This window comes from Homo sapiens, chromosome 13, assembly GCF_000001405.40.
Source record: "Homo sapiens chromosome 13, GRCh38.p14 Primary Assembly".
NCBI lineage: Eukaryota > Metazoa > Chordata > Mammalia > Primates > Hominidae > Homo > Homo sapiens.
The window spans coordinates 33,815,884-33,842,848 of record NC_000013.11 but is presented as its reverse complement, the minus strand read 5'-3'; the positions used below and the strand labels follow the sequence as shown (position 1 = coordinate 33,842,848).

Below are 26,965 nucleotides of genomic sequence, written 5' to 3'. Positions count from 1 at the left end.
GAAACCAGGGCCTTAGGTTAGAATCCTAGCTTCAAGACTTATACTGCCACTAACTGTTAATGGGCTTGCCCTCCCACTGTACAACTAAAAAACTGGACAAAATATATAAAGCAACCAGTAAGGTCAACTCTATACCATCATTCTGGCTTTCTGCCTGGAAGAAAGTGGCTGCGGGGTGGGAAAGAAAAACCTTCCTTCCCACCCTACATTTGGCTGCAGGGTAGGAAGGAAAAACCCAGGTAGAGAACTGTGATAACAGTGAGTTGAGGAAAAGGAGCAGAATTCAGAGAGGCTGAGGTGGCTGCCTATGTTGGGCAGAGATCTGGAAAGAAGGGAGTTACACAGAAAAGCACTCCTACGTTAAGAGTTGCCTTGTTATCTTTGGTTGATTACTAACACGCAAGTAGCAGATACAGTCTGGATCCACTGGACAAAGAGGGTTCACATCTTAGGTGGGATGGAGTAGGATGGTGGAAGATTAGATCGTATTACATTACTCAGAATGGCATGCAATTTGAAACTTACAAATTATTTCTGGATTTTTCTTTTTTTTTTTTTCCTGAGACAGGCTCTTGCTCTGTGGCCCAAGCTGGGGTGCAGTGGCACGATCATAGCCCATTGCAGCTTCAACTTCCTAGATTCAAGTAATCCTCCCACCTCAGCCCCACTAGCGGCTGGGCCCACAAGCACATACCACTACACCCAGCTAATTTTCTATTTTGTTTATCATTTGTAGAGACAGGGTCTCAATATGTTGCCCAGATCATCTCGGGCTCCTGGGCTAAGCAACTTTCCCGCCTCAGCCTCCCAAAGTGCTGGAATTACAGGCATGGTCACCGCACCTGGCCACATAATATTTTCAAATTGCAATTGACCATGGGTAACTAAAACCATGGAGAAAATAAAAACTGCAAGCTGAATAATTTCCAGAGCTCCCACAAGGCTGGAAGATATTTGAGTTCTGGTGACCCAGAATGGTTATACCCCAATGATCTCCAGGACATGCAGTAGAGACCCTAGAAATATCATGCCCCTATTTTAAAGCTAAATTAGGACTCAAGACTACGCCAGGCCTACTCCAAAAAAGTTTACAAACAAGCATGAAAAACAACAAGCTGATAATCAAATACAGTTGACCCTTCAACAATGCAAGAGTTAAGGGCATAGACCCCTATGCAGTCAAAAACCCCTGTATAACTTTTGACTCCCCCAAAATGTAATTACCAATAGTCTATTGTTGACTGAAAGCCTTACCAATAACATAAAGTCAACTCATTTTGTATATGTCTTATATACTGTATTATTATATAAGCTACAGAAAATATTGAGTGATATGGAAGAGAAATTACACCTACAGTACTGTACTGATACTTCAAAATGAATACACTGTCTGAAATTGAGGGCAACCACAGCTTTAGACCTCAATCTGTAAAGGTACCACATGGCATTTTAAATGAATACAACACTTAAGCTCACTGCAATACCAACAGGAGGTGGCTACAGAAGTATTCAGGCAGCATAGTATGTACTGTAATTTTATGCAGTTATGATTTAATACTGCACTCCCCAACCTTTTTAGCACCAGGGACCAGTTTTGTGGAAGACAATTTATCCATGGACCCCAGAAGGCTGGAGGAAGGGGTGGAGAAGGATGAAACTGTTCCATCTCAGATCATCAGGCATTAGAGTCTCATAAGGAGTACACAATCTAGATCCCTCACATGTACAGTTCACAACAGAGTTCCCACTCCTATGAGAATCTAATGCTGTTGCTGATCTGACAGGTGGTGGAGCTCAGGTGGTAATAGTCTCTGGTGCTCACTGGTTGCTCACCTCCTGCTGTGTGGCCCCAGTTCCTAACAGGCCACAGGGGGCTGAGGACCCCTGAATTTTACATTTGTTTACATTTCTCTTGGCTGTGAATGGCACCATGTATGGTCTGAGTTTGTGAAAGTTTTGATAAATTTTAACTTTTTGTACTAGATTTGTATATATTTTATCACAGTAAATGATGAAACAGACTAGTAGCTACACATATTTTAGGCATTTATGATGTACCTTTTTAAAATTTTAAAAGATATTTCTAGGTTATGCATTTTTCCATGAGTATTTTCAAATTAAGTCTCAAAAAAATTTTTTGTTTATTGAAAAAAAAACTACGTATAAATGGATACACACAGTTCAGACTTCTGTAGTTCAAGGATCAACTGTAATTGTCTGCCAAGACAAAGTCCAACAGTTAAAAAAAAACACACACAAAAAAAAGAATTCAGACACTTGATAATGTAACATGACAATGTAATAATGAGAGAGCCAGAATCCAATCCAAATTAATGCACATACAAAAAGGCAAGAAATCTAACCCACAACCAGGAAAAATATCAGTCAATAGAAACAGATCCAGAAATGACAGATATAATAAGCAGACAGACTTCAGAAGAGCTATTATAAATATGTTCAAAAGATTTAAAGAGAAACATAAAAACAATGAGAAATATAAAAAAGCAGCAAATGAAACTGCCAGAGCTGAAAACTTGAAGGAAACTATTCAAACTGTAGGACAGTGAGAAAAAAGCTAGGAAAAAGAGAGACTCTGTGACTTATGCAACACTACCAAATAACGATGTAATTAGTCTTAGAGGAAGGGGCAGAAAAATATTCAAAATCAGTTTTTCAAAATTTAATAAAATACAAAAGCCCATAAATCAAGGACTGCAACAAACCCAAAGTAGTGTAAAGCAAGATAAACACACACACAAATCGCACCAAGACGCTTCTTACTCAAACTGTTGGAAACTAGTCATAAAGAGAAGTTGGAAATCTTAAAAGCAGCCATAGTAGCAAAATAAAATTAAAAATATGATGACTACATATCTCTCTTCAGAAACAACACAACCCAGAAGACAAAACACAGATGGGGAAGAAAAACTGTCAAACTACAGTATTTAATCTGTATTTTGTATTTTGAAACCATCTGTATTTTGTCCATTGAAAATGCTTTCCAAAAGGAATGCAAAACAAAGACATTTTTAAGCCAAAAAACTCTTAAGATAATTCACCAGCAGACCTGCTTCACAAGAAATGATAAACTTTTTCGGGCTTTAAAATAAATGATGCCAGACTGAAATTTGAGTCTACAAAAGCAATGAAGAAATCAATCAGTGGATGGCTACTTCTACTAATGGAAACAGGAAGATATTGGGTGATTTCCCACTACAGTTAAGTAGAGAAGTGAACAAAATTGTCAAAAAACAACCAATTCAGTACACTGAAGCTTGATCAAAGTCACACAACAAATTGAAGAATGTCTATTATTTCAAAACTTATCAGCTGCAGGTAAAAATGGCAGCAACATTATGACCCTCTATGCCTAGTGATACAACCATACACCTGTCACTTGGCCAGTAAAAAATGTAGCTTTATAAGTTTAGGGCTGGATGCAGCCAGAGCAGTGGACTTGATTCAACATCGGGGCAAGGAAAACTCATTGCTTTGCTGGATAAAAATGGCAGACTTGGTTCAAAAAGGATGGGGAAAACCCATACAATAGCTTTGCTAGCCCTAAGTTGCAGGCCTAGTTCATGGCCATTGACAGACAAATCAGAAATTAAACTGAGAGATCCTAGAAGTGGAAGAACCACAGAGGGGTTAAGCTAAGCTCACACATATAACTGACGGACGGCTAAACTAGAAAATAAAAACCAAGGGGTACTGAGGACTGGTTGCAACCTTGAATGCATTCCTCATTCCACATGTAGTTCAGTTGTCTTGTAGTCTCATGATGTCTAAGTATAAACTCTGTTCACATCATTGGTTGGTCACTAAACTACACAGACAGAAGGATAAAGCCAGGCTAAAATAAAAGCGACTGAGCAGAAACATCAGTGATTGCACAATGCGGTGGAGACAAATTACACAGCTGACATCTAAGCAATCCATGAAATAAAAAAAAGAAAAACCATCAGGAGGAAAAAACGTCAGAAAAACAAAAGAGAATCCTAAGTTGCTAAAATATCTTACCTAAAACGTCAAGTTTTCAGCCAAAAATTACCAGACAGGGAAAAAAGGGAAAAGTGTAACAGTACACAGGAGAAAAAGCAGCCAAAAGAAACTGACTCTGAGTGGAGCCAGATGTTTAACAAATACTTCAAAGCAACTAATACAACTCATAATAATCTGATTCAAGAAACTCAACAAAGCCCAAGTAGGAGAAATACAAAGAAAACTACATGTAGACATATCATACACTACTAAAAGCCAAAGAAAAAAAGAAATACTGAAAACTGCAAAAGAAAATTGGCTCATTATGTAAAAGGAAACAACCTCAAGACTACTGGCTAACTTGTCATCAGAAACAACAGAAACGTGAAGGCAGCAGAATGACATATTCAAAGTGGTGGGGGTTTAAAACACCCAAATCAACCAAGAATCCTATAAATGGTAAACTACATTCCAGAGAAACAAAAACTGAGAAAATTGTTAGCAGACGTACGCTATAAGAAATACTCCTACCATGCAAACACTAATCAAAAGAAAGCTGGAGTGTCTACATAAATATTAAAAAAAGTAGATTTTCACAGTAAGGAATATCATTAGAAATAAAAAAGGGCATTTCATACACATGATCTTAGCCAAAAGACAGAGAAGCAACTGGGCACTTCATAATGATAAAGGAGTCAATATATCAAGATATTATTCAAGTACCTAAGAACGATCTTCAAAATGCTTGAAGTCCAAAAGAACTGAATTAGACAGATGCATAATTATGGAGGGAGATTTCAATATTTCTCTCAGTGAAAGACTAAAAACTAAGAAAGACAGAGGAGGTGTAAAAATATATTTGGAAAATCCCTAAGGACTTGGAAATTGAACAACACAATTCCAAGTAATCCATTGGTTAAAAAAAAAATCACAAGTGAAATCAGAAAAGTTTGAACTAAGTAGAAATGAAAACCTAAAATATCAACATTTGTAGGAGAATGTTAAAAAGCTTAATCAGTACTCAGAGTGAAATTTATAACTTTAAATTATATTAGAAAAGAATAGTCTAAAGTTAATTATCTAAATTTCCAAGTACATAACCTAGAAAAATAAGTAGAGGGAAAAAGTAGAAGATAAAAAAGGTAATAAAATATAAATGGACAACAACATAGAAAGTCAATAAAACCAATACTATAGGAACAACAGGAATTCTCTTATATTGCTGGTAGAAGTGTAAAGTAATATAACTTTAGGAAAGTTAAGCAACTTTTTAAAAGTTAATGTTTACAATATTGTATGCCCAGTCATTGCACTCTTACGTAGTTACTCAAGACAAATAAAAACCTGTCCACAAAAAGACTTACACGTAAGTATTCACAGCAACTTTATTCATAATAACCAAACCTGGAAACAAACCAAAGATCCATCAGCAAGTGAATAGGCTTTAAAAGTATATACAAAAATATTGAACAATAAACATTAACTAGTGAAACATTCAACAATATGGATGAATCTCAATAATGAGAGAGAATGAAGTATTACACAAGAATGCTTACAATATCTGATTCCATTAAATTCTTGAACTGGCAAAACTCATCTATAATGACAAGATCAGTGATCATCTGGGCCAGGGTAGGGATGAACTGACTGCAAAGGGATATGGAGGGAACTTTTTGGGGTGACGGCATCTATACCTTGATTGGGATCATAGTTTCACTGGTCAAAAATCAAACTGTACCCTTAAAATGGGTATATTTTATTTTATAAATTATACTTCGTAGTAAAGGAATTGTTCGGAGTCTGTCACACAAATTTGTCAAGTAAACCCTTTGGTCCATGAACCAAAATATTTAATTAAAAAGGGCAGAGCTAATGACAAAACACAAAACCTGTTCAAAGAGTAATTACTACAGTAACATACCTTTCTCCAGAACTTCATTCTGAATTTTCTTCAAGAGTCTCAAGTACTTAAATTAGTGAAAACATGCTTATTTCTTAGTACCGACCTAATACTAATCTGAACCACTGAAATAAAAGTTGGAAATCTGCAGCCTCAACAGAAATGGTATCTGCAATTTTGTCCATACCAATAATTATGTTTCAGAATGAAATCTTACATTTCCTACAAAAATACAATTATTCATTGAGAGAAACTAGAATTAAATATAATGGTGTGTCAAACAATCATGTTACCTGTGGCAGAAAATGGTCATCTGGATAAATGAAAATAATCTTTGCTTTCTAATGTGTAAATCTCCTTTAGCAGGTGAGAGATTAGACGGAAGAGAATAGGAGGATCAACAATGAATACTTGAATAACCAATGCTTAAAGTAAATTAAGATCATTTTCTTAGACTCTAAAGTCTCTAAGTTATGTACAAAACTACATACTTCAATAGTATAGGAGCAATTATTTAACTCAGAGGATGATTAATAGTTCACAGAGAAGTTATTACCAAAAAAACGCAAATACGACATGATTAAGTTCAGTTAATTTACCCACAGCTCTTTTAATATAAGCTGTATGTAAATACTGATACTGAGAAATCTTTGCAAGAATAACTGACAGAAGTCAGAACATCATGCCTTCCAATCCATCCTCCATGAACTTCTTATAAAGTGCCATGAATTTGGCCACAAACGCTTCCAAGTGATAAATGGCTTTGCTACCCAGCTGTAGACGATGCTCATAGTAAGCTGCCATTTGTGCCACCTCCCCTTTCAGTTGTCCATCACAATTATGTAACAGTTCTGAGAGAAGGCCCTAAACAAAAATAATCAGTAATTTAAAAATCATTAATAAAAACAGCTAAGCATGCCTTATTTCTCCCATTCACAAAAAGACTAAAGTTAAACATACTCTCTTTATATGTGTGAGATCTTTAATTTTTTATGTGAATCAACGACCTTCATCCAAAAGCAAAAACTTTGGGTACTTTTTCCATGACATAAAAATGTGGTGGGTATCAACCACATTCTAAATTCCAAATATTTAACTGCACAAAGTGCAAGGATATAAGTGTAAGGATGCTTTCTGCAGCACTATTTATAATAACAATAATAATTTGTAGACAACCTAAAGTTCCACCAATGGAGGTCATATTCGGAAAAGCTATGATACAGTCACACAACAGAAAACCATTCATCCATTAACAGAACGAAGTAAATCTATACATATGGTCATGACACAACATCCATACTAAAGTGTGGAAAACTGAGAAGTTTTGTGAAACCACATATATACACGTACTTGTTTCTATGTGAATAGAAAAGAGGTCTGTTAAAAGTGGTTACCTTTGTGAAAACGGATGGGTGGAACTTCACTTTTTTCTTTGTAGCCCCACCCTCCATTATCATCCCTGCACCTTGGTATTTCCTTTACAGCACTTACAACACTCTGAAATTCTCTTCTTTATTTGTTCTCCTTTTCACACCACTAGAATATAACTTCACTTTAGGCAGGCCCTCCCTTCTTTTCTTCAGCATTCCTCTAATAGTGCCTGGCACACCATAGAGGTTCAGTAAATACGTGCAATTAATGCGCTGGAGAGAAAGAGGTGATATCTTGATACTGCAAAAAGCCCTATGATCACACACCCAGCGTCCAAATTTTATAGCTGTAAAAAGTTCAAGATCTGAAATTGGGTTACCTTCATTATTATCTCAGGAGGAATACAATGAGTTAGAAGCTCATACAGCCTTCCACGAACTTCAAGGAGCCTACATAAAACAAAATAATTGGTATTTTGTGAAGAAAATAAGAGGTAATTTTTCCAAATTCCCACTGTATGGTTTTACTTTATGAATTAACAAACAATCCAATACAGAATTAACAACTTTATGACCTAACTTTATGAATTAACAAACAATCCAGTAAGAAATAATAACTGTTTCTTAAATAGTTTACCATACTTAGGATAAACATATGGAGGCTTCTCCTAACTTCAGTTCATTTTTGAAACAGAACATTTTCAGAACTCTTTTAAAATGAGACGTCTATATTCAGGGTTCCTAATTATATCAAAACACCATGAAAATACCAGATAGAAATTGAGACTTCATGAAGAGCGCGGGTTGAGCTTATTCACACCATGGAATTTAACAAACTTTAATGACATGTCAAGTAATATGTTTTTCTTTTCTCCAGACAGATACCTGAAACATCCAGGAAATGGTCATGAAAAGATTAAAAAGTCAATTACATAGGTGACACAAGATAATATACGCATGAAATATAATACAATGCCACTGCCTAGATTGCACAGTAAAAAAGCAATGTGGCAGGGATACAGAGCTGTCCCTGTCATAAAAGGGGCGGCACAAAGGTTTACAGGTAAGCACGCAACCAGGCTAAGCGAATAGGAACATTCAAACCTCTGAGTCCTTCATTCTAGGCCCTTCTCATATTCTAGGGAGAGAAAGGGGAAGAGGAGGGAAATGTACATATGACGTTTTAAAACAGAAAAAAAAAAAAAAGAGAGAAAGTTCCAAATACACATTCTTAAAGGGAAAAACTTCTGAATTTTTACAGTACAGATATATATATATATATATATATATATATATATACACACAGTACAGATGTTCCATACTTCAGATAAATCCAGGTAGTGATTTATAAGAATTCTTAAAAAGCAGAAGTCAATCCTAAGACGTCAGGAATATGAAGCCCTGGCACATTAAATCTTAAAAAAAGTGGGGGAAAAAAAAAAAGAACTAGCATTTCTGGGGCATCTGCTATGTGTAAGAATTGAAACAAATAATTTAACTCAGTACTTACACTAGCCCATTTATTTCAGATGAAAAAACTAAGGCCCAGATGGTTTAAGTAACTGACAGAACTGACCACAGCAAAGCATGATTTAACACAGATCTATCTTTCTTACTCCAAAGTCCACACCCTTTCCAATGTCTGTGAAAGTATTTAACACCTTAATTCTGTACTAGGTTCGCTGCAATACACTATTAATTCCCCACAACAATGATGCTCTTTTACTGAAACAAACCTGAAGTTCAGACAGGTCAGGCTTCCATCAAGACTTGTGTATTTGAGCCAGCATTTGAATTCAGGCCTGACTCAAAAGCCTGTGATTTCTCTGACATCCCAAGAATAAAACTTGATTATTAAAGCATGAATAATAAAAATAATTTCATATGGTATGAAATTATTTTAATATATGTATATAGCTTACTTCTGAAAAGTTGATTCAGGATGTAGTTACCTATACAATTGAAGTAACTATACTGTGTGTAGTGCATACATGTTAACATGCATCTTGTGTTAGTCTTGAGTTAACTTCTAACATTACTGTTTTACAAAATTAACATATTCTACATTTACCATGTCTGTGTCATTATTTCCTAATAGCTTACAAGTGATTAAGAGTACAAACTCTTCTGTCAGAGAAACATGGGTATCCTAGAACTGTCTCTATTATAATAATGGAATGTACCTGAACAAGGTACCTAATCTCCATAAATGTCAGGGTTTTTTTTTTAATCTAAAAAGTTAATATTTTTCTCATAGGTGTGTTATATCAATTAAATAACACGGTGTAAGAGCTGACATAATCATTCATGAAATATTCGCTGCTATTCAAATTAGAAAATTATGACTGTTCTAAGACAGATCAAATGAAAAATCGAGACCACAAATATTCCAGCAAGACAAAGGAGTCAGAAATCAGAAGTAATCATTTGGAATTGTGTAGCCCAGTGATCAGAAAGATACCAGACTTCCAGGATTTCTGGCCAGCCCCAAGGCTTTCTGGAATTGAGCAAAATTTCTTTTTATGTAGCACAATGGAATCAATTCCTACAATTGTTGGTTTAAACAGGAAACAGGAGCACCGCTTCCTGCACAAGTTCATTTATAAGCCGTCAAAATGTGTTAGGAAAACCAGAAGAAATTTGTAACAGCAGCTAGAAGAATTAAGCAAAGGAATAATCAAGTAGTTTTATAAAAGCACGTGATAATTATCAAACATTACAACCTCAAGTACCTAAATCCCCTAAAAGTAGGTAAGTTATATTGCTATCAATTTTTCTTCTTTAATATCAGAACAAAAACAAGAAAGTCATCTTCAGTGTAGAAATATTTTATAAAAGTAAAAGGCACCTAAGACATGCTTTATTTGAATTTTATCTCTTTAAAGGGTGAGGTCTCTTTATTGATAATCAACATTTTACAAAATAAAATGAACATATTTTTCCTAAAGATGAAGTTTCTTTTCTAATGAGACTACTTATAACATTTGGTACTTCTTGGAGAAAACTATCGATTTCTTCAACTAAAATAATTGAATTCTGAGAATTCAAAGCAAACCTTAAATGAAATACTAAGTACCCACTATGTATGATCCACTATCCACCTCCACCAATCTATATGGTAACCAGGGAATACATGTTACAATACCTTTGAAGAATTTCTTAAAAAATTAGAATTCATCAGATGTATCAACAAAAGGAGAAACATGGCATATTCCTCTATTATTTTCATTAGACCAAGGAAGAGTAAGCTCTATTGGCTGCAGTCTATTCAGTCTATAGACTGAACTCAGTTTATTCTGAACCCTAAAATGATCAACTACCCTCTGTAAGGTCCAAAGATCATTTCTCAGTTCAGAAACCCAACAAGGATATGAGACTGTGCTTTAGCCAAGTCTGAGGAACCTTCTTCATACTCTCCAAAGTTAGTGGGCCTTAACATTGTCATTTTTTATTTGGAGGAAAGCAAACTGTGTTTCTCAATCGAAGCTGCCATAAGTCAAACAACTAGCAGCTGAGGTATTTTCAGAATGGTCAACCTACAAATAATAGACCTACAGAAGTAACGGAAGCAATTTTGAGCAAATGTGTCAAAAAATACTTCCTGAGTAAAAATGGTATATACACAATGCTATCCTTAGTAGAACGCATGGTCATCTATAAGCACAGGGTTTTTTAGTTTTCAAACCATTAATAACTCTTTTGCTCTTCACAACAAATGCAAAAGTACCCTTGGTGAGGCAATAATAATATCTTCAATATACAAATGAAGATAAAACTCTAAAATGAAGTTACCTGATCAAGAACACTTAGCTAGGAGTTCAGGACAAGAACTAGAAGTCTGACTTATAGTCTGGTGTCTTTCTAGCACATGATGCATCATTGATTACAAAGTTTTACATTGTCCTTTACTAGAAAGCTACGCACATTATCTCTAGCTTTGTGTTGTATGTTAATGTTAAGTAATCTGAGATCCTAAAAGGAAAATTAAAATTAATATAAATTCCACTTTTACATGATCACATGTAAGCCATGATATTACAGCTTAATAAAAGCCATAATATCACACACCAACTATTCTGAACCACTAAATTTCTGAAGTTAAATGCTACATTTTCCTTAAAAAGTTAATACATAGATTCAGGATTTAATTATAATTCAAAATGACATTAGCATAAAATAGTTAATATGTGTCCTATGATATCCTGATAATGAAAGCTTTACTGTCATCATTTTATACTGGTACCTTTGTGGAGTTTGCTGACTGACAATAGCATTTGCAGTCTCCCTCAGATACACCTCCCAATCTGTCTCAGGGATTTCTTGATCTGCAGTAAAAGGATATCTACATGACAAAAAGAGAACACAAGAAGTTAAACAGAAGTGTGCTTATGTCCTAAAACAGGAGTCCCCAACCACTGGTCCGTGCGGTTAGGAACCGGGCTGCACAGCAGGAGTGAGCAGCGGATAGGCCAGCATTATGGCCTGAGTTCCACCTCCTGTCGGACCAGTGATGTTATTAGCTTCTGATAGGAGCGTGAACCGTATTGTGAACTGCTTATGCAAGGGATCTACGCTCCAAATGAAAATCTAATGCTTAATAATCTGAGGTGGAACAATTTCATCCTGAAACCATCCCCCACCCCTGCCCAGTCCATGGAAAAATTGTCTTCCACAAAACTGGTCCCTGGTGCCAAAAAGCTTGGGGGCCAAAGTCCTAGAATGTAACTACCCCTTCCACTCACTGTTGCACTCTGCAGGCTTCACACATAAGCAGGGCTTTTCTGAGATTTCTACAAGACTTCTCTGCAAGTCTATGAGCCAGTTGTGAAGGAAGATTCAGACCTTCCTTCTTACACACAGTAGATAACACGTGGCAAATCTACAAATAAAATTAACAAAAATGGGCAATCCATTAAAAAGCAGATTAAGATTCATTTCTGTTGATATCCTCCTAGACCCTTATAACTGTATTACTCTCAAAATTCTTATAAGTGAAACTTACACTAAAAGTAACTTACCACTCTGCATCTAACACAATGTTGCATATTATCCCTACTTTGCATGAAATCTCCCAAAATCTATTAAAAGCTGGAAAGATATTTAATGTGAGGAATCATAATTTTTGCTGATGGCTGTTAAGAATGGAGAAAAAAATATATCTATGTATATATATTCATATTAATGTTATTTCATACTAACTTTAATTCCCTTCCTAGGGACTAGGTATTCCCACATCATCTCTTTGCAAAATCTGTTTCCTCAATATTCCAGCCTCCTCTTATAGCCAACTAAATCAGCTTGAGAAAGAAGACAGTAAATAACTAGCCCTTACCTAGTTTAGTAGAATTCGTAATACCTACTTGTTCAAAGTAAAGATGGTTTAAAGGGAAAAACACTTTCTATATATTGGCATCTGGTATTTACAACTATACGCTTTGGTTTGTTCACATATTAATGCTTTGCATCCAGGTCTGTAGGTGTTCTTAAATTACTGATACGATTCCCTTCTTTTACAACAAGCATACAATATTCAGAGAATCTGAACTGATTTATTTTTCAGAAAAGTGTAACTTGACCTACATCTTCAATGCTGGGAGCAGGCACACGAACCGCCAAGCACCTACTACGAATAGGTGGGATCACTTTAGATGTAGAATTGCAGCACAAGATCAATCTGCAGGTAGACATATATTTTTCCATGGTTCTTCGCAAGGCATGCTGAGCATCTTTGGTGAGTTTGTCAACTTCTGTCAATAATACCACTGAGTCAAAGAGAAACAAAACAAACTTTAACTTGAGTTCACTCAAACTTTAACTTGTCTCTTTCTTCCTTCTCATTATCCAGGATGAAATCCTAAATAATAAGCCTGATATACTACTCTTCCCATTGGCAAAGATAAAGTTATAAGTATGGTAAAATTACTTTATTATTTTAAAATGCTACAATCATACTCCAGTTTCTCTTCAGATCATATAAATATTTTGCCTTTTACTAAAGACTTCTATAGAGAGGAACAGCTCTGAGTTTTTAATATTGTGAGACCTTGCGTTGGCAGGGCTAGTAAAAAAAAGAAAAGAATCTATAATCAAACAAGACCAAGAAACACTAGGCTAAATGAAGTTAAAAGGTCACTTTGTAGTAGAAATCATTGCAACCTTTATTATTTATATGCGCTAAAATTTACCAAGACAAGGAAGTACTGTGCTGCATTTCCCCAAAATAACTTTACTCAGCAGCACATTTCTGTGGTACACCTTAATCTAAAATATTAAATTCCAAGGAATAGACTTTGGAAGACAGTGGTGCAAGAGATGTAGGCAACAAGGCATGAGGATATCTGGCCACCATAAAGTAAGATTCCATCTGGCCACAATCACAGATCAGCCTTAACATAGTTCAGGAATAATGTATACACAGAAACTGAATCCAATATTGTATTTTTCATTATATTAACAAATTATTTCTAGAAGATGAACTGGCAGCATGTAGCATTTAGATCTGCCCCATAAAAATAAACAGAACAACTAAAGATTCCAAAACAAAGAACCCATGAACATTATACAGAAACCAGGCAACAAGCTTTACCCAAGAACCCCAAACATGAGCAAGTGAGAATAAGCAACTAAAACTGGAAAGGCCCACATAGTATCAGCAACGGTGTGGGAGGAAGATTTTGACAGACTTTATGACAGGAAAAGCTCAAAATCACCCACGGGAACATACTAGAAACCATGGTGCGGCCAATTTGAAAGCAGCAGTTGGCCAGGCACAGTGGCTCATGCCTGTAATCTGCCTGTAATCCCAACATTTTGGGAGGCTGAGGAAGGCAGATCCCTTGAGCCCAAGAATTCAACACTAGCCTGGGCAACATAGCAAAACCCCATGTCTACAAAAATACAAAACATTGCCGGGCATGGTGGTGTGTGCCTGTAGTCCCAGGAGACTGAAGTGGGAGGATTACTTGAGCCCAGGAGGTCAAGGCTGCAGTAAGCTCTGATGGCACCGCTGCACTCCAGCCTGTTGCCACACAGTGAGACACTGTCTCAAAGAAAGCAGCAGTCTTACCGAGGGGGGAGATTCGACAGAGCCCAATTTATGGGTGAGAGCAAGGGAACCCTGATGCAGTAAGGTTTGACAGAACAGCAGACTCTGAGAATACCAAAATGAAGTTCCCTTCTAAGACAGTGTTCCAGGTGGCTGTGGCTGGTGCAGTGGCTTGTGCCTGTAATCCCAGCACTGTGGGTAGCCGAGCTAGGAAGATGGCTTGAGGACAGGAGTTCCAGACTAAGACAATGCTCCACAATGAGAAGAAATCCCAGACCAAATTGAGAACAGGTAAAAGAGAGACAAAGGAAAGAATCCCAATAAAGGTGACAGAAAATAAGATAGGGAATAGAGCTCAGAACACAAGGTCATTTATTTACTTTATTTTTTTATTTTATTTTTTTAGAGACAGGGTCTCACTCTGTCACCCAGGCGGGAGTGCAGTAGCTTGATCATGGCTCACTGCAATCCCAAACTCCTGGGTTCAAGCAATCTTCCCACCTCAGCTCCCAAGTAGCTAAGACTACAGGCATGAGCCTAATTTTTTTTTTTTCTTCCTTTGGCAAGATCGGGTCTTGTTGGTCTCAATTTCCTGGCCTTAAGTAAAGTGTCATATATTTTTTATCACTTTGTAAAAATAATACAAGAGGTAGCTGTAGAGCCCCAGACCTAAAAAAAACTCTCTGGCCTTCCTCTCCTTCCCTAAGTACAGGAAAAATCACTTTACTTTTAACAAAATGACCAACACAAAAGGATCATGGCCAAATTTCAACAGTTATGCAAGAAAGACGAGCAGAGGAGCAGAATAACATCTTTATGGATATGAAAGAGACAAATTATTTCCTAAACTGTTACTTAATTCATAGTTATTGTTCTTTTTAAGTAACAGTAAGCTTCATGTAAGAATAGGTTAATTCAACTGTAATTGGGTGGTAAAATATTGTTCACATTTTTAATGACCCTACAACATTTCACTTTTAAAGGTTTGTAATTGTAATCAGGTATTATTAATTTTGATTAAAATTTTAAATTTCAACTAAATTTCTTATAATAACCGATGTTCAACATTTCTCTTATAATATTAATAACAGATTGAGGATAATGGCACAATATTTCCTATATTTACATACACATATCATTATTTTGTATAGTGATGTTTGAAACAGTGACTAAGCAGTACTTGGTAGGCAGAAAACAGCAAATTCAACATGACAAGTCATGTTTACTCTAGAAATGCAGAACAGTTTTGTTTTGCCTTTTTTTGGAGATATAGTCTCGCTCTGTCACCCTGGCTGGAGTACAGTAGTGCAATCACAGCTCACTGCAACCTTGAATTCCTGGGCTCAAGCAATCCTCCTGCTTCAGCCTCCCAAAGCACTGGGATTGCTAGCATAAGCCACTGTGCCTAGCAAAAGTTTTAATATTAGAAAATCCAGTAATATAACCTATGATATTAATGAACTAAAGAAAAATCATAAAAGCATATTCATGGATGAAAAAGAAGCATCAGACAATATTTAACACACATTTGTGTTAAAGACACTCAATAAAATAGGAACTTGAGAATATTTTCTTACCATGATCAAATACATACACCTCAGACCAAAATCCAGCAATTAATTATGGGGAAACACTAAGGCTTTACTTCCAGAGTCATGACATGGACATCTGCTATCTCTATTACTATTAACCACACTATTGGAGGGTTGGCCAACATAATTAGAGAAGAAAAAGTATTTAGAGCCATAAAAATTGGAAAAAGGAAAAACAATTTACAGATTACATTAATATACATCTAAAAAAACTCAAACTACCAAAATACAATTAAAAACAGTAAGAGAATTTAATAACATAGCAAGATATAAAAGTAGGATATGTTAGTAACTCACATATATAAAACATTCAGAAAATATAAGACTCCATATATAGTAGCAAAAAATAAATTCATAAATGTAAATTTATTTTGAAATATGGAGACTGAGGAAAGAAATCAGCTGAGAATATGTACAGCGAATTCACAAAACAATAAAAATGAGCAATAAAGGAAAAATTTATCACACTCACTAAAGAAGAACAAAACACTATCTTCTCCACTCAAACTGACAAAGATTAAAACAAATTATCCTCAGTGTTGGTAAATGTCACGGAGAAATGAGCACTCCCAAACACTGCTATTGGTAGTATAAATCTATACCCTCTTTCAGATAGAGAATTTGGCAAAATATATCAAAAGCATTAAATGATGGCATATTTATTATCACAAAATCTCACCAGTAAGAATGTATCCATATATATAGAAAAAAATGCTTGGATGGTAAAGTCTAAACTGTTATTAGTAGCTGTCTCTGGATGGTGGGAATATAGCTGATATTATTTTCTTTTTTATCTAAATATCTGATAATGAACATATGACTCGGTCATAAGAACAATTATTTTAAAATCATGTAATTTCTGATTTTAAATCACGTATTTTTATTCATCTTGTTCTAAAATATCAAATGGATGGCACAAATAATCCTCTTTCACATAAAATTCAATTCCATTAGACTATAAACTCCCATGAGCCCAGAGATCAGGCTTCTCTCCTGTTCACTTTCATAACTCAAAAAAAAGAGAGAGCACTAATGCTTGGCAGCTTCATAAAAAGAAGTCTTTTGATCACCTACCTTTAAAATCCCTTTGAGAGTTTGTTTCAAGTTGTTGTGATTGTGCCACTGTTTTCAACATCTCCTGAATGACTACTCGGTCACTATTTCCAGCATCACTACACAAAACAAAAATAATGGTATATAGTATGCCCTTAATATTGTTATTATAAGAAAAATGGTGAAGTTCTTAAGTGGTCAAAATTTTAATCAAAATTAATATCACTTAACTATAATTATAAGCCCTTCAAAAGTAAAAAGTTTTAGGGTCATTGAAAATACTAACAATATTCCAATTGGATTAACATCACTGAAAACACTAAATATGTTGTTACATTAAGTTTACTGTTAACATAAAAAGAGCAACTACTAATAATTAGGTAACAGTTTAGCAAATACTTTGACACTTCTGTACCGACTATAGAAAATTAATACCTAATTATAGCTAATTTCTCAACTATCTATAATTGTTGAAAATACAAAACGTAACTCTTTGAAACAGAAATTCAATCCCTAGTCCTCTTCCACATCCCCAAAATAGCAAAGATCTAAGAGAGAACAAACAAAGAGAAGTCTGCTCCCAGCACTAGAATGAAACTGATTCAGAGACTCAGTAAAGCGATGAGATAAGCAAATTGAGTTTAAGACACAAAGTCAAAACTCCGTAAACTGATGACTTATTATAGGTATTGAGCTGTCATTTACACCAATATTATTGCTTTGGCACTTCAGTCAAAGACCTCTCAAGCCAAGAGAAGTCAATTTAGGCTGATTCAATGTTAATTTCAATCACCCCAAAAGCAATCGGCTTATTCTCCAATTGCTTATCTATGCTTCAGAAGAACTCACGATGAGAAAAACAGGTCAAAGCAGTTAACTTTATTTTCTCAAAGAGCCACTAAGTTTTCCCAAGTCACTACTATTATTATAGATCAATATACCTACAGTGTTGCTCTTACGATCATTTTCCTAGCCAAGAATCCAAAACATTCTCCATTTGTATCTGGAATTAACATTCCCTTTGTTTCTTTGATCAAACCCATTCCCAACAACCTTATTTCTCTTAGTTTTCTTTGAGATGCCTAGAGAAAATAATAAAACCTATCTGTTAGGGTTGTTTTAAGGATTAAATGTAATAATACAGGTAAAGCTTCTCACAAAGTGCCTGCTACTGAAAACAAGATACACATTAGCTTGTAATGGTATTCCTCCTGCTCCATTCGGTCTCCTCCCTCTCCCTGAAATGGATGTTCACTCTTGCCTCTATGTCACTGCCCATGTTGAATATGACTGACAATATCCTCAATTCTGTTCTCCTTTAAGAACTCATACAGCCCCACAGATCATAGCAGCTTACCCAATTTAGCTCCCAGAATCATTTCTACACCACTTAATGCTTAATAGCTATTGCATGAATTTTCAACGCCTCTCCAACAAGTTCCTAATTCTTATTACTGCATGATATAGAGAATAAAGATATTGGTTGGTGAACTATTATAATACCTCTAATCAAGAAATTTAAACAAAGAGAGTGACAAAGAAAGATTTGGCAACCCAAAGTCAATTTCTGAAATATTTACTCCAAACACTGTAAACTTTTTAGACACACTGCTCATCAGTAATGAATGAGCCAACATAATTAACAAAAATTTACTGACAATACAATGTACTGTGTGTACATCAATGAGCTCCCTAGAGCTAGAAAAGGTAAATACATTGTTGAAATTATTTGACACAGAAGGCAAAACAGGAAGGGCTCTAGGATTCCCATTTCAAGCAGGGCAGCTCCACTTTAGTCTGTTTTATAAACTGTGCTTCCACACGTATCAATTTATTTCAAAAAAGGGTTTCAATCTTTTAAAAAAAGAAAGCCCAAAACCAATTTCTTTAAAAATACTTAATTTCTATATAGTAGTAACTTACCTAGGATTAACTTCAAGGTGGTAGTTACTTGCAATGGTGCTAATTTCAATTTTTTTTTTAGATGGAGTCTGTGGACAAAGAAAAAGATATTTTTAACATTTATTTATTGCCTATTTCCCCACTCTTTTGTATTTTCATTGGTTTTCCTTTTATTACACAAAGTAAAACTTGAGATAACCACCATTCATGTTTTAACTTTGTTAATCCCACTCTTTTCTCAATGTGCAGATAAACATGTTTTTATATAAATTGGGTCAATCACACATCCTGTTTCATTGTGACTACTTTTTTCTTTTCCTTATCTCCAGAAATCCCCAAACCAAATCTGTATACCATCTGAAACACAGATCATTGCAAACGATCTGTTCCTTTCAGTCTTTCCCATGTTAACACAAAAATAAACATACACAAATGTATTTTCATGGAGTGTCAATGTTTCTTGTAAAAAATAAAAATTAAAAAAAGGAAATCATACACGTCTCTGTGTTTTGCTTTTCCTACTTAATATATCTTGGCAATCCCTCTCAGACAATTGGCACAGTGTTATAGTCACACACCAACCTATGGCATGGATGTTGCAAAGCTGGTCATACTGATGGACATTTTGTTTTCTGAACTCAAACAATTCCACAATTAATATCTCTGTACATATGTTGCATATACTGCTTTCATTTCTATGTAAGAGATTCCCAGTTTTCTGGATTGAAGGGAATGTGTTTTCTAACTTTAATATAATACATGTGTGTGTATGTGTGTATGTATTGACCAGTCTGCTTCATAAAACAGTTTAACAATTCACTTTTCCACTGGCAACACTCTTCCCCAACATTCCCCATCTACAGTAGGTTTTATCATGCCTTTCAATTTTTCAGTTTGGTGAGTATATAATAGACTCACACTGCTTGACTATCACAAAGGTCAAACATCCTTACATGTGTTTAATGCCTCTTATATTTTTCTCCTGTGACTATTTGTTACAGAAGAATCTATTTTTCAGTTTTCTACCAGATTGTCTTTCTGTTGCCAATTTGTAAAAATCTCTTATTTACACAGTCCTTTCAAATTTTTGTGACAATCTTTTTCTATTGATTTTATGTATAATTTCTGTCATAGCAATTTTTCAAATTCATATATCCAGGTATCTACTTTTCTTCTATAGTTTCCATGTTTTCCTACAAAAGGTTTTATTGACCCAGGAGCAATTCATATAGTCTAAAAAATTTTAATCGAAGATATTTAGTGTTTCATTTTAAGTCTTTAATTCATCTGGAATTTATCTCTATAAATTGTATGTCATAGGGACTCAACTTCGTTTTCTCTGGATAGATAACTAGCTATGATGACACACTGCTGGCTTATCCTCTTCCACTGATTTGAAATAGCACCTCTATCACATTTCTAAGCTCTCTTTCCAGTTTCACTTGTCTAATTCTCTATTTTCATGCCAATATAATACTGTTTTATTTACAATAGACATACAATATGATTTACTACACATTAACACAAGCCCTACTTCACTAATCTTTTTTCATAATTACTTTAGCTAGTCTCAGAAATGTACCGTTCCATATGGACGGACTTTAAGATCATTTCATACAATTGTAACAACCACTTGAATTTTAATTAGAATTTCATAGAAATTTATAGTGTCACCTGGGGCAAACAGATAATTTAAAATATTAAGCCACCCATCTGGGAAGATGCTGCAACATTCCATTTGACTGGCTGTTTATTGTCCCTCTATAAGATATTAGTTTCTTCTGACACATCCACACCATTTTTGTTAAATTTGTCCCTATATATTTATACGAATTTCCACAACATACAACCAGCATCTCAAACTCAATGTATCTAAATATATGCTAATCAACATTAGCCTAAAACCCAGTTACCTTCCTGAAGATTCTGTTTATAGCACTACCATCCACACTCAGCATATGATTTTTTCAATGCCTAATATGTAAAGACATTTTACCAGAAGATATGAAGGATATGAAAATGAATATATGTTCTCGACATACAGTCAAAACAAATACAATCTTTTCAAAGTAAAAGATGTATAAACTACTACAACCAAAGCAAAACAAAATAAGTACTATTAAAAGTACAAACTACAAGTTGTAGAAGAAAAGTTAATTCTAATGGGGTATGAAAAGGAAGGATACATTTCAGCTAGATCTTAAACATCATCCATAATGGAAGAGCATAAGAATGTGCTACACGGTATGCAGCTGGACATCTTGGCAAGGGCAAGATCACAGAAAGCCTCTCAACTTCCCAGAGTTGCAGGCCTCCTTTCCCAGTCAGTCAGTTGCCCACTCTTTACCAAGTCACTTGATACCATGTTTAACATTTTTCTCAAAATCATTCTCTTTCTTTCCATCCCCACTACTGCTCTCAGAAAAATGAAGTCTGGAAACCTGAGTTCTAATTTCAGCTAAGACATTGTCTTATTAGGTAATCTGAAATTAATCTCACCCTCTACATTTTACCCCAAACCCTCTGTTGCTCTTATTTCCTATCTAACATAAATGGCTTTGCTCTGGTTATAACAGATCCATATCAGTAGCTCTCAAATCCTGTGCCCCAAGACTACCTGTGGAATTCTTATTTAAATCATACATTAGGAAGCAACTGAGTTGGGGGGACATACATGACCAAGACTGAAAGTCCCCGCTATAAATTACTTTCAGGGCCTCAAAGTGAAATGCTTACTGTGATGGTCTGATGTTCAATTCTCAATTTTTCCACTCCAACACCATAAAGTTCACGTAGAATACACATAATTCTTGTCTTTTTTCCAGCACCTGATGGTCCGTACACTAACAGATGAGGAAAGTCACCACACTGCACCTGAAAAAAAAGAACAAGGCATTTTTCCCTAGTCAAACTGAACTGCTCTAGGTAGAACCAAACTACTTTTTAAGTAACAAATATTTTATGTGTCTACCCATGAAACTCCCAGTTCATGAGTAGATACACCCAATTTTTTATATATGTGTAAAACTTGGAGTTTCATGGGTAGATACACAAAATATTGTGTATCTTTTATATATATATATATATATATAAATATATATATGCTGAAAAGTTTACTATTCGCCTGACACTAATTTTGTATAACTTATATACGTGACAGCACATGCAAGATACAAAACTAAATGCTAGAAAGCGGGAACTCCCAAACCTGACTATCAGAATCTCCTAGAAAACTTTTTAAAATAAAGGACTGACTAATGAACAGACCCTATCATCCATGAGATTAGGATTCTGTAACTCTGAGATTCAGGCCTTTCTTACTTCGGACTATTAGAAACAGTCCCTGTGATAACAATTCAGTGCATTTGGTTTCTTTGGGAGGTTACTTGTGAGATAAAGGAAAACTTCATAGGAGAGTGGGGATGCGAAACAGGGAAAGGAAGGCAGCCAGTAAGAGTGTGTTGTCAAGTTGAATGGCTCTAGGTATCTGTGTTTGATCCTGCTAGGGAAACTCTTAAAGCCAACATAAACACCCACCAGAGTGTTAACCCACCCAAAGGGTGGGGAAGCTGCCGTATGATTATCTCTGATGAGTTCTTTCTTGAAGCCTGCTTAGAAAAGTGGATGGGGGAAAAGAAAGAGCATTAATTCCAGGCATTTCAAATCTACTATGGGTGTCACAGAGAGAAAAGCCCTCAGGCAAAGTACAGATGTACAAAGTTAGAAGTCAGAAGTCAGTCTGTGTGCACTTAAAAGCAAGAGGACTGGGTAGGGCACTAACAGTATCTGCTGATGATGAGTTTTGCAAAAGCTTTTCGGGTGTTTCTGATGATCAGTCTGGTTTGGGAACCAGTGCTATGAAGGCTATAAAGATGAGTGGGTGACAGACCTTAGCCTCGGGAGCATAAAGTCTTGTAAGGTGAAGTTCTGTAAATAACCATTATTGAAAAAATGGAATACGTATCTTAAGAGAAGCGCTTATTGCAATGAATTTTAATACTTTGTAAACTCATCCATCTCTGTCACTAAAAAGTCCCAAGGAAAAGAACTATTCAATCTAATATACTGCCTGGAAAATGGCAAGTGTCCCACAGACACTTACTGCCTTGTTTTTTCAACTTCAATCTAATCAAAAATAAGGGTTATGCTTTAAATGTTTCATAGTTTGATTAAGCTGCAAATAAAAGAGTAAACAGGTGAACATTTCTTAAAAGCAAATTTAACACATAAGACCATTATATTAAATTCATGTCCAAAATATACATTCCAAATTCTGTACAACAAAATGTGGCCACAGAAAATAAAATGTATTCTATCACTAGGAAAACTGAAGACAAAGCTATTGACGGAAAATGTAATTTGTCTATAAATGATGGATACTGCAGTAATCAATTTATTTTAAATTAGTATACATGCAGTATCAATAAAGAGACCAAAAAAAAACCTTCAATGTCACAACACTATCAACTAGTCTAATGATTTTTACGTGTACAATCTTTTCTTATTATTTCTTATTTTTAAGACGCACTTAATTAAATAGTATCTGTAAATCTAAGAAAGGTCGGAAGGGAAAACCAGGGTATTGGGCAAAAACGTTTCCATCAGCATCATATATTAATTTGAGTTCCTTAAAAGGAGTGGATAAATGTCTTCCACAGACACTTTATTCTCCTAAAGATCCTTCTTTACTCTCTACTCCCTGGAAGATTCAGTTCGTTCTCACAAAATATTGCCATTGGGCACTTTTATCAACTACAACAGACAAAGAGGCATCAGGATAGAGGGGAGAGGATCTTTCACAAAGCTCTAATCTCAGCCACGCACGGTGGCCCACGCCTGTAATCCCAGCACTTTGGGAGGCCGAGGCAGGCGGATCACCTGAGGTCAGGAGTTCGAGACCAGCCTGGCCAACGTGGTGAAACCCCGTCTCTACTGAAAAATACAAAAATTAGCTGTGCGTGGTGGCGGGCGCCTGTAATCCCAGCTACTCGGGAGGCTGAGGCAGGAGAATCGCTTGAACCCGTGAGGCGGAGGTTGCAGTGAGCCGAGACCGCGCCATTGCATTCCAGCCTGGGCGACAACAGCTAAACTCCGTCTCAAAAAAAAAAAAAAAAAAAAAAAAAACTAATCTCAGGAACGTCCTAATACAATTTATTTGAGAATTAGAAACGATCTTTGGAGTAAATACATATTTACAACACTTTACTTGTAAATGACAATGACATCGAGAAATCTTAAGCCAGCTAGAAAGTAAATCACATGGTGTCATCTCCGCTCAAAATGCTCCAACGGCTTCTCGTCTTATTCTGAGACTGACTGGGTCTGCACTCCAACTCCATCCCAACACATACACCCATCTCCGATTACCCTTCCCGCTGGTTCACCACTATCGGCTACGCCGGCCTCCTGAGGTTCTTAGAACATGCCGTGCACATCCCTGCCCGGGAATTTTGCACTTGCTGTCCCCTCTTACCTGTTCCACTCTTTGCTCGGATTTCTGTATTTATGACTTTTCAATTTCCTTCAAGTCTCGGCTCAGATGCCACTTCTCAGTGGAGCTTTTCTTGTTTAAAAATACAAGCCAGCCTCCCACACCTCTTCCCCCTTCCCTGTGTTATTTTTCTCCATAGCACTTATCACCTTCCAATGCGGGCGGGAGAAGCACTGCTCCTCAGGGGGGCGCGAAACCCCGAGCCGGGGGGCCTCCCCTCTCCCACGCTCCCGGCCCCCGCAGACTCACCAGGTTCCGCAGCTGGGCCGCCTGCTCCTTGTGATAGTCCAGCCGTCCCAAGGAGCAGGGCCGATACTTGTCCACCCAGAGGCTCATGGCAGCTCGAGTTCCCGGGGGCCTACGCTTGAAAATCCCGCGCGAGCGCGCGTCCTCCCCACAACGCAGAGACAAGTTTTCCCGCGAGCTCCAAATCTCGTGACGTCACTACCGGTCGCGGCCGCGTAAATGATTTTGGACGGAAAGGCTACGGGGGCCGTGTGCAGACAAAATCAGCTGCCGCGTCGATGCCCTCTAGTTCTGAAGTTCACTGCTTTATTTATTTTCTCTTTGTTCGCACCGTCTATTATATTCTAGAAATTATCAAGCGGAATTGAAAATGTGGTTCTGACCCTTTTGGCGTCACATCCAGATACCTCAGAGAAGACCGTTCCTTTCATTTATTCATTCTTTCATTCACTTAATTCATTCAACAAAAATTTACTAAATATCTGCTAGGTGTGGAACTCTGTCCTCGGCACTAGAATATATACATCTCAGGGTTTCACTCACTTGGCAGGTACCCAGTAAAGCTTCATTGGATGAATCGCTTGAAAATGTCTGATCTTCACTATCCTTTGTTACCTCTATTCCTCAATATTCTTATTGGATTAGAAACAAAAGAATCAAGAGCATGGAAAAACTACCCAAATGTGGTCTGTAGGGGAGAAGACACGAGGTTAATATGCATTCTAAGTCTAGAATATTTGAAAGCCCTCCAATTAAAATGTGTAGAAGCATCTGAACCCCTCAGAAAAATATTCTGCATATGAAGTTGATATGCAACTTTTGAAGTTCTCTTCAAATAGTGCCTCTCAAAATGCACTTTACTCATTGTACATAATATTAATTCCTTATTTAATTTATGCTTTTATTTTATGTATTATTAAGAACCCTAAGTCCTGCCATTTGATTGCAAGGTCTTACAGGCAGGAAATGATTTCCAAATATACTTAATAACCTTTCACCAAGGTGCCTCTTACTCATTTATTAATCAATAATTTATCATGTTCTTCTATGAATCGTCATATTACATGAATTACTCCTGCAGGTAAGGTATTATCCACACCACCAAGTATAAGATTTAATCCCTGTTCTCGAGAAACTTTCTATAATAAGCCTGGAAGGCTTCTGCCTCAGGGCCTTTGCAATTACTGTTTCCTCTTCCTGGACTATGTTTCTCCAGTCAGCAGAGTTGGGTCCCTCATTTCCTTCAGGATGTTGGCTCAAGTATTATCTCCTCACTGAGGCTTCCCTGACCACCCTATTTAATATTGCAAAAAAGCTTCATCTTCTTTATGCTTCTCTCCTTTGGAATTGAAATGGAGGAAGTGTTTGAAATGAGAAGGTAAAGGAAATCAGAAGCAGGGATACTGAATTGTGGTCTATGTGTATATCATAATCATAATGAATGATAATGGAAATAAGTACTGAGAGGAATAAAGAGAAGAACCAAGTGCTAGAATGATCAATAATTTGGCAAGAGTGACCACAGGCATGACAGACAACTTCAATAAGGAGCAGTGGTTGATGGTCTCTACCGTGAAGACATGTCTCTACCATTGAAGCACATGAAGACATGTGCTTCAATATTGTTGGGGGTTCTGAGGAAGGAGAAATAGTGTGGTGACCCAGGAAGTCCAGTTAAATTTGAATTTCAGAAGCTTTTTCATATGTCTATGGCAAAATTTATTACAAATGATTTTTTTTCTCATATAAGTATGTCCCTGGCAATATTTGAAATTGTAATAAATATTGCCAGGGACATACTTATATGAGAAAAAAAATCAGCCTTTATCTGAAATTCAAATGTAACCAGGGCCCTGTATTTATCTAGCAATTTTACTCCAGACTCTTGAATATATAGGATATGAGAAATTGCTACAGAGGAAGTAAAGTCCTCGGGGTTGGTAAACTACAGCTGCAATCACTTTAATGTTTAATGACTCTGGCCCTCAGGTATCTTAGCTCTTTTTTTTTTTCTTGAGATGGAGTCCCAGTCTGTCTCCCAGGCTGGAGTGCAGTGATGCGATCTCGGCTCACTGCAACCTCCACCTCCTGGGTTCAAGCGATCCTCCCACCTCAGCCTCCCATGTAGCTAGGGTTACAGTTGTGCACCACCACGCCCAGCTAATTTTTTGTATTTTTAGTAGAGACAGGGTTTTACCATGTTGACCAGGCTGGTCTCGAACTCCTGAGCTCAGGCAAGCCAGCTGCCTCGGCCTCCCAAAGTGCTGGGATTACAGTAGCGAGCCACCACGCCCGGCAATCATATAGTAATTGTAAGTTTAATTTTTTGAGTAACTGCCATACCGTTTTCCACAGTGGCTGCACCACTTTACATTCCCATGAGCA

The 26,965-nt window shown here is 36.4% G+C and overlaps 1 protein-coding gene and 1 pseudogene across 14 annotated transcripts in view; one reads left to right on the top strand and one right to left on the bottom strand.

The window, feature by feature from the left end:
* RFC3 (replication factor C subunit 3) overlaps positions 1–24,700 on the bottom strand; it is a 159,229-nt gene extending 134,529 nt beyond the window's left edge. For 11 of the 14 annotated variants that reach the window (XR_007063695.1, XM_011535175.3, XM_047430491.1 and 8 more), the window contains exons 1-8: positions 24,584–24,700; positions 21,580–21,717; positions 18,865–18,932; positions 16,963–17,060; positions 12,832–13,013; positions 11,994–12,130; positions 11,495–11,593; positions 7,632–7,701 (exon numbers count right to left, since the gene is read on the bottom strand). Coding sequence is in view for 13 of the 14 variants with exons in the window: in XM_011535175.3 (XP_011533477.1) it covers positions 7,632–7,701; positions 11,495–11,593; positions 11,994–12,130; positions 12,832–13,013; positions 16,963–17,060; positions 18,865–18,932; positions 21,580–21,717; positions 24,584–24,670 (879 nt within the window). In the remaining variant the exon portion in view is untranslated. Of the gene's footprint in view, positions 1–5,348; positions 6,746–7,631; positions 7,702–11,494; positions 11,594–11,993; positions 12,131–12,831; positions 13,014–16,962; positions 17,061–18,864; positions 18,933–21,579; positions 21,718–24,583 lie in introns of those variants that run through there. The other 3 variants (NM_002915.4, XM_017020681.3, XM_017020683.3) reach the window with 3 other exon arrangements.
* On the top strand, positions 13,200–13,310 carry RNU5A-4P (RNA, U5A small nuclear 4, pseudogene; annotated as a pseudogene).
* Positions 24,701–26,965: the final 2,265 nt, after the last annotated feature.